Source organism: Homo sapiens, chromosome 9, assembly GCF_000001405.40.
Source record: "Homo sapiens chromosome 9, GRCh38.p14 Primary Assembly".
In the NCBI taxonomy this organism is placed as follows: Eukaryota; Metazoa; Chordata; class Mammalia; order Primates; family Hominidae; genus Homo; species Homo sapiens.
Window position 1 is genome coordinate 111,160,095 of NC_000009.12, and position 14,128 is coordinate 111,174,222.

The window sequence follows — 14,128 nt, forward strand, 5'->3', positions numbered from 1 at the left end:
AGAAGGTCAAACAAAACCCTCATTTACCCCAGATACCATAACACATCTCTGCCTTTCTTTACTACAAAACTTCTATAAAAGCTTGCCTATCCATGGTGGCGCCAATTCTGCTCTTCCCACCCTCTCTTGGATGCATTCCTACCAGGCTTTCCTCCCAACCACTCTGCTGAAGCAGCTTTCATAAACATCTTCAGTTCATCTCAACCACTTACACTCTATCCCACACACCTCCTGCACTACCACCATTTGACACCTGTACATTTACTTGCTCGTTTGTTGTCAACTAACTAGGCTGTACACTCCATGCACTCTATCCCGAGAGCCCAGAATGCTCTTCGGTACACAACAGGTACCCAATAAATATTTTTTAAATGGGTTTTAGCTTGTGATCATTTACTGTATCAATTACCTCTGTGTAAACAATGCTAAAAATCTTTATCGTACATATTATTCTATATTCTTGACTTCCTGTACTTCCAAAAAAAAATTTTGATAGGCCCAAAATATTCATGTTGGGGTTTTGCTTGAAGTTACATTAAATATATAAATTAACCCGATGAGGACTGATAACATATTGGATCATCCTATCAGAAACAATGTATATATGATTTAACATTTTTTAAAGGCTGCAATTGCTGCCATTAATTTCCATAGGTAAAGATCATCTGGGAAATATTTAAACATTTTTTTTGAAACAAAGAGCAACAAAAGGTAACTCAAGTTTTCAATATCTGTTCACTTAATTCTGATCATGCAACTATCAAGTTGGGGAAAAGAAATACAAACTCAGATACTGGGCTTTAAAATAACGTGCCCCAAAGTCCATGCTATGACCTGGGCCTCTGATGGGTGTGATTGAAAGAGATAGTAGTATCATCAGTAAAGTAAGGCCTACAACAGATTAAAAAAAAAAGATTTGGGATGGAGAGTATGAAATTGTTTAATATTTTGCAAAATAAGCATAACATTAGAAATTGCCTGCTTACTCAGAGGTGAGTAATCTGGCAGTCTCGGATATCTACTACACAATCCAGAATGAGAAATGGAACAACCACAGTCTCCAAATGACCTAAACAGATGTCACAAAGCCCCAGCTTACCGAGGCAGAGTTTAGCAGCTTCTCTCAGAGCCACATGTTTAGGGTGAGGTATTCCAGCAACAGAGAGTAGAAGCAACCAACTATGAGGATGGTACTAGAGAGAGCACACCCCCACACATATACGCACACAATTTCCAAAGGCCTTTGCAAGAACTCAAATGACCTGGTCTAGTCAGCCTTAGCACAGCTCTTCACACCTCAGTAGCTTTTTACACATCAGCAGTGACTCTACAATGCAACAGAATACAGAGTAGCACCAGTCAATTTCATTCAGAACAAAGATCTGAGGTTGTGAAGATAAGAAGAAGTTATATTCAGCATCTTCTTTTTAAGAAGGCAGACAGATAACTCATATAGTCTAGAAAGATATCCATAAAATCTGGCCACAAGTATTTAAAACTGGCATTTGAGAAGGTAAAATTTCTGGGTAAATATCTGTTAAATAAAATATCTCAATCCCCAATCATGCTGGATAAATGGGACACTAGTGTGCTTCTCTAAAAGATAAAAAAGAATCAATAATGGACTTAATTTTTAAATGCTTGACTCATGCCAAATGTATTTGAGAGGTAATACATACTACAACTCCAGCATCATGAAAGTAACATCTGATGTCAGCAATCTAATGCAAGCTTGTATTCACTGGTCCGGAAGATGGGAGATCGCTTACTTTATTAGTTCTGTGATCTTTTAAAGAAAGAAAACAGTTTTGTGAGTAACTAAATTTGCTTTTTCCGTGTTAGAGACTGGTTTTTCTAAGATTAGCAGTGTAATATTCTCAAAACTGGAAATAAACTAGCAGTACCCAATGAAATTACAATAATCAGGCTATTAATTCTGCAGACCAGAAAGAGAAAGAAATGAGAGCTTAATATTAAAAATTTCAAATTTTTTCCACCCTTATTAGCACTTCTCTTCTCAGATTTCCTTGCTGGCATTACCAATAGTATAATATATTGGATCTTGTTTTTGTCACACACGTGAGGATTTATTTAACTTGAAAGTCCTTCCCAGCTCACGTGGATTGGAACCATAACTAAACACCTTGTCACGTGTTTCTCATTGTGGACAGGCATACACAGCTTTGCAAAGAATAATTATTATTCCAGTGTAGAGATTTTTCCCAGACTTTCAAAAGATAGACTATAGATCTTGAGACACTAAAAAACTTGTTTATGATTTTTAATCAGCAAAAGAATGTATTCACACTTAAGACATGGAAAACAGCTCCTTCTCTGGAAAACAAGAAAAGCATTTGAAAACCAATTTCATTTTTTCTTTGAGCTATATTAAGGTCTATGGTTTTAAAAAGTATGATACAAAAAAAATCCTTTTTTTCTGTACTCAGTAGTCTAAGTATCATAGACATTTTTGCTTTTCGGAGGAATCAAAAGTGTTTCTCTGATGTCATCAGGACCATCACTCTGGCTAAATCTTTTAAAAGTTCCTATGACATCCAAACATATGAAACTCAAGGCAATATATCAAAAGAGGTAAGACTGTAGGCTTAATTCTTCTGATCTATGAGTTATATATGAGCAAAAAGATGAGTTTGAATTCTCCCTTGTACCTACTATCCTAGTGACCTTGAGCTGTTAACTGCTATGCACCTGTCTGCTCATCTGTAAAATGAGGTAAAAGTGTAATCTCTTTCATAGGATTACTGAAAGAATTAAATGAGATAATGCACGTAAACCACCTAGCATAGAGTAAATGTTCAAACATTGTTATCAATGATTAGGAGTGTGACTGTGATTGAGATCCCAGGAAGTAACATAGCTCACTATGAATGCATCTGATTTCTCTTGCTAGCACCACTTACCCGCCTAGCACATAGTCACACAGTATTTCCTTCTAAAATATTTTATAACATCCTGACAAAAGGATGAATTTTAACCTAGATCGATGTTCTTTAATGACCAGAAATGTAATGGTTCCTCTCTATTCTCTTTGATCTAACCTCATTTCTTTCCAATATTCAGAATCAACAAGAGGAGGAAAGAATGAGAACCCTTGGTCATGAACAGGAGAATGTTTTTGACGATTTGGAAACTGGGGAGTATGAGACTTCCTCTTGGGAGAGTTGAAATAGGGGTAACATAAAGTGCCATATGAAGAACATTCAGCCTAAGTGAGAAGAAACAAATCCCGATTTATGTCAATCATTGGCATATAATATTAAGGCCAGTCTAGCAGCTACTTTTTACCCTTACAACATGTCATTGTGCCTTGAGCTTTTTCCATCTCTTTAAGGCAGACTCCTTTCATGTGCTAGCTGTACTTAAAAAGCAGCAGTGAACAGAAAGCAAAATTAACCCAGTATATTACAAACCAAGAAATGATGACAAGAAGGTAACAGCTATACTGCTGGAAGACTGGAAAGGCATCTTCAGGTAAGTTCAGTGGATCCTGAACTACTCTGTAGCCTTCATCCAAATCCTGTCCAAAAAGGAAGCTTCAGTACCTTCTGTTTTCATATCAGGCTTGATAAGTGTGTTTTGTCAATTATAATCAAAGGCTGGCCTTGACATTAGAAAATGTTATTTTTCAAACCAAAAAGAACCTGCAAAGCCCGTTCTTTGTTGTACTTCCTCATCCTCCATAATTATGCCCTTTCACCTCCGTTTTTTTTCTTTTTTCTTCTTCTCCTTTTACTGCAGGATTTATAAAATCTCTGAAACTTGTTGTTTGCAGATGTAGGTCCCAAGTGCCCTGTCATTTACTTCCTGTCCAAGCACTGAGCAGATGGAATTACACAAGTTCGGCTGTATGAAACCACCCTCTAATGCCTTCGTTAAACTCCAGGATTTTAGAGTCTGTCCAGTTTCTGGCAGGGACCTTTCCAAACTTCCACCCCCAAAGCTGTAAATTACTACCTCATTAAACTCAATTGTAAATGATTAGGTGTCTGGAATGTACTTTCCTCTCCCTGCAGCCTCCTTGGAGAAATTACTACATTGCAGGCCTCCCTACTTAACTCAACACATTAGTCAAGCAATGCAGGGTTTGAGTAGCTCACTCAGGAGGAGGTTTTATTTTTGTTAGGGTATTAAAACTCTATTATCATTTAGTTCCAAAAGCGGAAGATTTGTGATCTTCCACTTCCCATTGAGCAATCAGTCTTTTAGCAAGAGAAAGCTGTAATCAACAGGACTTTTTCAAGAATTCAGTTTTCCTCCTGCCACACAGGCAGTTGGAACTACAGAACTTTTGTTTTTTCTGAACATCAGTGAGATGATTTAACATTTTTTAAAGGCTGCAATTGCTGCCGTTAATTTCCATAGGTAAAGATCATCTGGGAAATATTTAAACGTTTTTTTGAAACAAAGAGCAACAAAAGGTAACTCAAGTTTTCAATACCTGTTCACCTAATTCTGATTTTTCGATGAAGTTTAATAAAAAAAAAAAAACTTGAAGAATCTGGAAAGGTCATGGGGAAAGGGTTGGAGAGAGAGAAAGGAGAGGAGGGGCTGTCACATTAAATAAATAATCTAGCCTAAGTTCCCAGCCTAGCTGCCATCATTTTAGCAGAAAAGGTAAAACTAATATTCCCCGAGGGACAAAAGCTCAGAAGGTCAGTTCTCTTTCTTATGCAGGCTTTTACCTCTTTATTTAATTCACTGGCTTAGAGTCTTAAGATTTTCATAATGCTTATTTTTGGGCTTCTCTTGCCACTTGTTTCACTATAGATTGACTAGAGTCAATTAGTTGTGCTTCACTGTGTCTCTGGAATATAGGTAAAGATAGTGACTTGCGTGGAGAAAGAAAATGAGGGCTATGAGCAAAATGGTTTTGCTATGATCAAACAAGTAGTAGCAGTACAGTAAGTGTTGAAGTAGAGAGTTCTCACCATCTTTGAAGAAGATTTTCAGAAAGATACAAGGGAATGGAGCATCATTAATTCCTAACTCAGCCTATGAATTTGTTGGTGGGTATTGCAGATGATCATTAAAGAGATTCCTTTATATCTGGGCATGGAAGATAAGGAATGGACTAATAGCTTAGGTATCCATTTTTCTACATTCATTGTATGTGGAACAAGAAATAGTTCAGATGAACATTGCTTGCCAGGGTGCTCTTTAAATGGGATCATTGGGTATAACTATAATTGGGTTAATTGGAATAAGGTATAACTTTGTCTTGGTTCCTGGCCTTGTACCTTGGAATAGATGGGATTTTAGGAAAGAGGTAAAGAAGCTGTTTCCCCAAGGAAACAAAGGCGAATGGTATTACCCAGGTGATAAGGTGTGATACGGAGAAGGGAGAGTACAGGCTCCTCCTTTGTGCCGACAACACAGCACAGCTTTGATTTGGTGAAAACTGATGGAATTGCAGTATCTCTCAGGCAACCTGAGGGTCTGCGGATTTGGAAAATCTTTTAGCATTGTCATCAGTGTTGTCATGGTAGATACCAGGTGCACTGATGCTCAGGAGACTTCATCAATGTCAGACTTTCAGAAGGGTAGGCAGGATGGAAGAATGTGAGCTAAAGAAAAGACACCAAACAACCAAAGATGACTTGGTTATTTGAAAGATTCAAAAATACTTCATTGTAGGCAATTCATTCCTTGACTAAGTTTTAATTCATGTTAAATTTATCACTTAAAAGCCTATTAGAGAGTAGCACCAGCAGAATGGCAGACTAGAAGGTGCCAATCTTCATCTCCCCCACAAAAACAACTAATAACCATATACCAATGAAATTGTGGAGAGAGCTCGGGAGTACAGCAAAGAGGTAGCAGAAACTCAGTGAAGCACAAACACCAAAGATGGCTGTGTAGAAAACACCTTGCTTGCACTACTCCATTCTTCAGTTGGGATCAGCTCAGAGCCAGAAGGGATTTCTTCCAAGGGGAAAAGGTAAGCAGGAGGATCCCAGTGGCCCTCATCACCACGCAGACACCTGCACGCTTCAACACCCTGCAGTTTTTGCCAGTGCTGAGCCCAACTAAGGGAGCCAATGCTGTGCCCCGCCCCTGATTGCCTGGGTAGCCATAGTACCTCTCCATTTCTGGGGTCTTGCTGTTATTTCACCTTACCACCTAAAGCCTGGGACACCCAGCACCCCACTATCCCTGGGCCCAAGTTGCTGGAGAGCAACTCCATCTCTCTGGACTCAAGTCACTGCTGGACCCCACCCCATGGGACCTGCATTACTGCTGTGCCCCACCATTCTGGGGTCTTACTGCCACAGCCCCCCAACCCACGCCCACTCCCAGGGCCTGAGATACTAAAATACCCTGCTTTCCCAGGAACTAGAGTCTTTGCTGTACTACCCCATGCCCTGGGACCTAAGTCATCACAGCAGCACTTTATCCCTGGGGCCATACCACTGCTGCACCCTGCCCCCACAGTCTAAGCTTATTGCTATATCCCCTCTCTCTGGGCTTGAGATGCACACCCCAAAGTCCTAGACCCCAGCTCTGTAGGTGATCTGCATAAGCTCATGCCTCTGTGAGTGCACCATTATCCCAAGACCCAGGTGCCACACCTGTTCTGAGCACCTGTTCCCTGGCCTGAAACCACTGCAGCTTCCTGAAGCCCACACCAGACCCAGCATCAAGAGGGAATCCCTCAGATAGGACTCCCTCCTGTGAGGAATGGGAAAAGAGAAGGACCACAACAACCTTCCCCTTGGGGACTCCAACAGCCTACACTGTTATTGCTGCCATTACAAACACCTGCAGCCTTGGCCATCGAGGCCCTCATAGTCTTTGTCAATGCTGACCTCAACGGGGAGAGATACATGGAGACTACACCTGCACACCCTCTGGAAACAAAGCTGCCACACCCCCACCCAGCTTGCAGTCTTGCACTTAGCTGCAGATGAAAATCTATTCCCACCAAAGCCAGTCTGTAAAGTTTGGAAGAGGCGACTGCTCTATCAAATATGCAGACACCAATGCAAGGCTATAAGAAACACTTGAAAGAAAGAAAGAAAGAAAGAAAGAAAGAAAGAAAGAAAGAAAGAAAGAAAGAAAGAAAAGAAAGAAAGAAAGGAGGAAAAAAGAAAGAAAGAAAGGAAGAAAGGAAGAAAGAAAGAAAGAAAGAAGAAAGGAAGGAAGGAAGGAAGGAAGAAAATGTCACCAAAGGAACACAGTAACAACCCCCAAGAAATCAAGATCTACAAATTGCCTGAAAGAAATTTAAATAACTATTTTGAAGAAGTTCAGCAAGATATAAGAGAACTCAAATAGATAACTCAATGAAGTCAGGAAAAAAATACGTAAACAAAACTAAAAATTCAACAAAGAGATAGAAATCATTTAAAAAGTTGCCAGGCAGAAATCCTGGAGCTGAAGAATACAATGAATGTAATCAGAAATGCAATAGAGAACTTCAACCGCAGACTAAAGCAAGCAGAAGAAACTGGGAACTTGAAGACAGATATTTTGAGATTATCCAGTCAGAGGAGATAAAAGAATGAAAAAGATGAAAAGAAATGAAGAAAGCCTATGGGACTTATGGGACACTATTAAACAAATCAATACATGCATTATGAGATTCTAAAATATAGAAGAGAGAGAGAAGAAGAGAAAGCTTGAAGAAACGATGGCTGAGTTAGAATGGCAATCGTTAAAAAGTCAGGAAACAACAGATGCTGGAGAGGATGTGAAGAAATAGGAACACTTTTACACTGTTGGTGGGAGTGTAAATTAGTTCAACCATTATGGAAGACAGTGTGGCAATTCCTCAGTAATCTAGAACCAGAAATTCCATTTGACCCAGCAATCCCATTACTGGGTATATAACCAAAGGATTATAAATCATTCTACTATAAAGACACATGCACACGTACGTTTATTGCAGCACTGTTCACAACAGCAAAGACTTGGAACCAACCCAAATGCCCATCAATGATAGACTGGATAAAGAAAATGTGGCACATATACACCATGGAATACTATGCAGCCATAAAAAAGGATAAGTTCATATCCTTTGCAGGGACATGGATGAAGCTGGAAACCAACATTCTCAGCAAACTAACACAAGAACAGAAAACCAAACACCGCATGTTCTCACTCAAAGGTGGGAGTTGAATAATGAGAAAACATGGACAAAGGGAGGGCAACATCACACACTGGGGCCTGTCATGGAGTGGAGGGCTAGGGAAGGGATAACACTAGGAGAAATACCTAATGTAGATGACGGGTTGATGGGTGCAGCAACCCATCATGGCACATGCATACCTATGTAACAAACCTGCACATTCTGCACATGTATCCCTGAACTTAAAGTATAATAAATTTAAAAAGAAAAAAAGAAACAATGGCTGAAAATTGCCCAAATGTTGGGAGAGATATGAAAATCCCGATCTATGAAGCCCCAAAATCCCTATCTATGAAGCCCCAAAATCCCTAAATAGATTCAGTCCAAAAAGATCTTCACCAAGACACATTATAATAAACTTTTCCAAAGCCCATGTCAAAGAGAGAATTTTGAAAGCAGCAAGACAAGCAACATGTCACATACAAGGGAATGTCAAGAACTATATCTGCCAAAGCTGTCTTTCAGAAATGAAGGAGGAATAAAGACTTTCCCAGAAAAGCAAATGCTGAGGAAGTTCATCACCATTGACTTGCCTTAGAAAAAATGCTAGAGAGTTCTTCAAGTGAAAATGAAAGAAGGCCAGGAGCGGCACACTTTGGGAGGCTGAGGTGGGCAGATCACTTGAGGTCAGGAGTTCAAGACCAGCCCAGTCATCATGGGAAAACCTCATCTCTACTAAAACACAAAAATTAGCCAGGCGTGGTGGTACATGTTTGTAATCCCAGCTACTCGGGAGGTTGAGGCCGGAGAATTACTTGAACCTGGGATGCAGAGGTTTCAGTGAGCTGAGATTACACCATTGCACTCCAGCCTGGGCAACAGAGCAAGACTCCATCTCAAAAAAAAAAAAATGAAAGGACACTAATTACTAACATAAAAAGACATAAAAGTATAAAATTCACTCATAAAAGTAAACGTATAAATGCAGAATACTATAATACAATAATGGTGGTGTTTAAATCACTTATAACTTTGTATAAAGGTCAAAAGACAAAAGTATTACAAATAATGATACACTATTTCCTTAATGGAAAAAATATGTTAATTGTGATATTAAAAACATAAAATGGGGATGGAGCAAAAATGTAAAATTTTTTTATCCATTGAAGGTAAGTTGTTATATGTAGGTCAAAGGATACAAAGACATAGAAGAATGCGTCTAAGTCTAGAGATATATTGCATTATTAATACAATATTGTATTGCATATTAATAATGTTGTGTTGTATCTTGGAAATTTGTTAAGAGAGTAGATTTTAGATACTCTTAGCACAGAAAAAGAGTAACTGAGATGATGGAGATGTTCAGTGGGTTGACCGTAGCAACGATTTCACTGTATATATCAAAACATTGTTTTGTACACCTAAAATATACAGAATAAAAAAGAGCCTATGAGAATATTAAGGAGTTCCCTCTCACCTCAGGAGGAGAACAAAAAAAAAATGGTATAAGAGGCAGCTTTGATTACTAATGATGTAAATTTAAAAATATATGTAAGCCATTGATATGTCTTTGTGAATTACCTGTTAAAGCATTTTTCTATTTGCTTTTTTCTTGTTGATTGATAAGAGCTTTTTATATATTCAGGGTGATAACACTTGTGTATCATTTATTTTGCAAATATACCTACTTTGAAGTTGGACTTTTAAATTTGTTTCTAACAATTTTGAGACAGAAAAATTCTATTTTTAGTCTCCTTTATCATTTTTTTCTTAATTTTATGCTTAGAAATATTTTACTAATGCTGTAAGCAGAGTTGGTTTCTGTTTTTTATTTTTTGCATCTCTTGGTATGTTCTCTTGTATTTTTAAAATACTTTCTCTTGCAGCTTCATTTTTCAAATTAACTCCTATACGATCTCTTTTTGGCATATTGGGTGAGGAAAGGCTCTAACTTTTTTTAAATAAATAGGTATTTTATATCTCTTAAATACACATTACTCTACAAATTTTGGGAGGAAATCATCTTTATCACAAGCCAAAACCTATTTTTTGAGTTTCTATTCTATTTTACCAAACTACATTGGTCTACTCCGTGCAATACTACAGTGTGAAATTATAGTATGCTCTAAAATTCTGTGATGCAAACATCACCTTGCAATTCCTTTTCTCCCCGACAAGTTAATTGCAGAGTTTTACTTCAAGTAAAGTCAGACGTAGAATGTTGACAGACTATTGCTCTCACCAAAACAATAGAAAAAATGAAGTAAAATTAATATTTTTAACACACTGAAGGACTATGAATGCAAGGAATTAAAGACTTCCAAAGAGGTGCAGGCCCTTCTTGGGTGAACAGAGACCATGAACTGCTTTCCTTCTGGGAGCATTTGCTGAATTCAGGCAGAAAGAATCTGCTGGGGGTATGAAAAAAAACAGTTAAACTTTTAACAGCCATGTGAGCTGGCACAATGAAATAGAACCTTAGAAACCCCAAATGCAGAGATAGCAGAGTCTTCCTGCCACCAATTCTCATAGACTTTTGCTCAGTGTCTTGCAGAAGCATTTGGGAAGCTGGCGGCAAGACTGAAAAGTGATTAGAGAGCCAAAGTCTACAAGAAGGAAAGGCCTATTATATACATAGATAAGATTTCACACTCAAGAAATCTTGAAAACAAAGGCAATTTGAAACTAGATCTCCAAATCAGCCCCAATCCTGTTAAATTCCTTATTGGATCAAAGCAAAAAGCCTCCCATTTTCATTCTAGCTGCCTGATTAGAAGAAAAGATATGCCCTTTCTGGAAGAAATAATATTTACTTCAGTCTCTATGGTTTTTATTTATTTTTATTATTTTTTTCTTTTTTGAAAATGGAATGCTTCGCAAACTTGCATCATTCTTGCACAGACGCCATGCTAATCTTCTTAGGATATGTTCTGCCAAAGCGAGCACGAGTCTCCTTGGTTTTTAAACACAATAAAAAGTTACAACTCAAGGCAAAAATAAGGAAAATGTAACTTTTGTGCAAAAGAAAAATAAAATCTATATGATGAGAATTACAGATAACCCAAAAATGACTGTAAAATCACTACTAAAAGTGTCTCTTAAAATTAGAGCAAAAAATAGATCTAATGGATGAAAAACTTGATAATTTCAAAAAGTGTCTCTTAAAATCAGAGCAAAAAATAGATCTAAAGGATGAAAAACTTGATAATTTCAACAGAGACATGGAAGTACTAATGAGATAGGTATTCTAAAATATTTTAAATTAATGCATATGTTAATTAGCATGATTTAACCATTCCACAATGTATATATGTATCAAAATATCATGTTTGTGCACCATAAATATACACAACATTTGTCAAATAAAAATAATTTTAAGTAATATTTAAAATTAGACATTCATTAAATGGACAATACCAGGCTAGAAGGACAGCAGAAGAAACGCTGAGTGAACTTAAAGACAGATCAATAGAAATAGAAATTAGAACAGAGGAAAAAGAACATTAAAAATAACTGAGAGGGAGAGAGTTATGAGATAAGACCTGTAATTAACAATCTTCAAAGAGACACACAAGCCAAAACAAAACAAATAAAAAATTCTGCCAAGCATTTAAGAAATACCAGTTCTACACAAACTTTCAGAAAATAGGAAGAACACATTTCGACTCATTCTATATGGCTCACATAACCATCATACCAAACTATGACAAGGCTATTTTTAAAAAAGAAAAATTATAGACCAATATTCCTCATTAACACAGATATAAAAATCCTATGCAAAATAATTGAACCCAGTAATATATTTGAAGGATAATATATCCTAAACAAGTCTAGCCATTCAATGAATGCAAAGTTGGCATAACATTTAAAATCAGTCAGTTTAATTCATGTCAAATGATTCAGAAAAATAAACCACAAAATGTTATCATTGGATAGAGAAAAATTATTTCATAAAATTCAACACTGTTTTACTTAAAAGGATACTCTTAACATGGTAGGTATAAGGAAGAACTTAATCTATAAAGGTTATCTACTAAAACAGTAGTACAGCTAATAGGAAATTCAATGTAAATATTCACTATTATTGTTTCTATTGACTGTTGTACTGATGGTTCTACCCATTGAAATAAGGCAAGAAAAATAAATAACAGTTCTAAGCATTGGAAAGGAAGAAGTAACACTCTGTATTTCACACAGTTATGTGCATGGAAATTCCAAAGAAATCTATAAATAAACTGACAGATTTATTGACAAGAAATAACATGTGAATTTTAGCAACACTGCTGGTTATAAGGTTAACAAACAAAAATCAAGAGTATTTCTGAACACTAGCTGCAGCAATTGGGAATAAATTTTTTTAAACATTACGTACAAGAGCATCAAGGGGGAAATCTAGTGAAAATTATGCAAAACCTCTTAACTAAAAATGATAAAACATCACTTAATAAAATTAAATAAGATCTAAATAAATCTTATTTAATTTTATCAAAATTAAATAAGATTTAATTTTATCTTATTTATAATAATAAATTATATTATTGTAATTTATTATCATGCTCATGAACTGGAAGACTCAATATTGTTAATTTGCCAGTCCTCTCCATATTGCTCTAAAAATTCGACATATTCCCAGTCTAAATATCAGCAGGTTTTTATTAGGAAAGATATACAAGATGATTATAAGGTTGATATGGAGATACAAATGACCTGATATAACCAAGAAATTCAAGAACAGCAATGCTGGAGAACTTACAGTACCAGGTTTCAGTAGTTACTACAAAATTACAAAAAACAAGGCAATTGCTATATTGTTGTTAAAGCTAGACAAATAGATCAATGGAACAGACTAGAGAAATAGACCCACACAAATATGAGCCTTTGATTTCTGACAAAAGCACTGTAAACTATAAAACATGACTGAATAAAATTAAGAGCTAAACAAATGGAGAGATTATCATGTTTATAAACTGGAACTTAATTTTTAATATATGGTGCTGGAACAACCAGACATCTTTCCCCCACCAAAGTTAATCTTTATCCATTTTTTACATCATACACAAAAATTAATTCAAGGAAGTATCAGAGATTTAAATGTGAAGACTAAAATTGTAAAGCGTCGGTAGGAAAACATGAGAATATCTTTGCAACCCTGGGGATGACGGATGATTTATTGGGCAATATACAAAAAGGACTAACTTTAAAAGAAAATAGACTGAATCAAAAATGATACTGCTCATCAGAAAGCCACTTCTCATCAATAAAGCCAACAGGCAAGTCACACACTGGGGTAAAATATTTACAATACATATGCCTAACAAAAAAAGATCTGTGCCCAACATACATATTTTTAAATACCTACGAATCAATAAGGAGAAGACAAGACAACTAAAACAAGCAAAAGACTCCATCTGTCACTTCACAAGGCAAAATGTTTGAATAGAAAGTAAACAAATAAAAAGATATTCAATGTCATTATTCACCAGGAAAATGAAAATTAAAATGATGAGATACAACTTCACACAACCAAAAAGACTAAAGTTAAAAGACCAGCAATGGAAGTGCTGATGAGGATATAGAGCAACTGGGTTTCATATCCAATGATGGGAGAGCGGAAAGAAAAATGGTAAAATCACTTTGGAAAGATGTTTGCCAGTTTCTGATCAAGTAAACATTCATCTATCCTACGACCCAGAAATTTCACTCCTACGTATATACCTAAGAGACATGAAAGTATATAGCCACAAAAAGACGTACTCAAGAATGTTTATGGCAGCTTTATTTCCAAAAGTCCAAAATTGGAAATAACACAATGTACATCAAGAGAAAAATGAATCAGCAAGTTATGGAGTCATACCATGCACTGCTATATAGCGATAAGAAAGAGCAAATGATTGATACACACAGCTACATGGGTGATTGTCAAAAAGAGACATGAAAGAGTATTATTATAGGCTTCCATTTTTATGCAATTCAATACCAGGCAAAACTAATTTATGGTGATAAAAGTCATAATGATCTCTGTGTTGGGGCTGTTGATTA

The 14,128-nt window shown here is 36.5% G+C and overlaps 1 annotated feature.

Moving 5' to 3' along the window:
- Positions 976–5,671: an enhancer, noted in NCBI's record as "VISTA enhancer hs1447". NCBI's record gives its function as "enhancer in: limb[5/6]" and the evidence as "EXISTENCE:transgenic organism evidence [ECO:0001131][PMID:17130149]".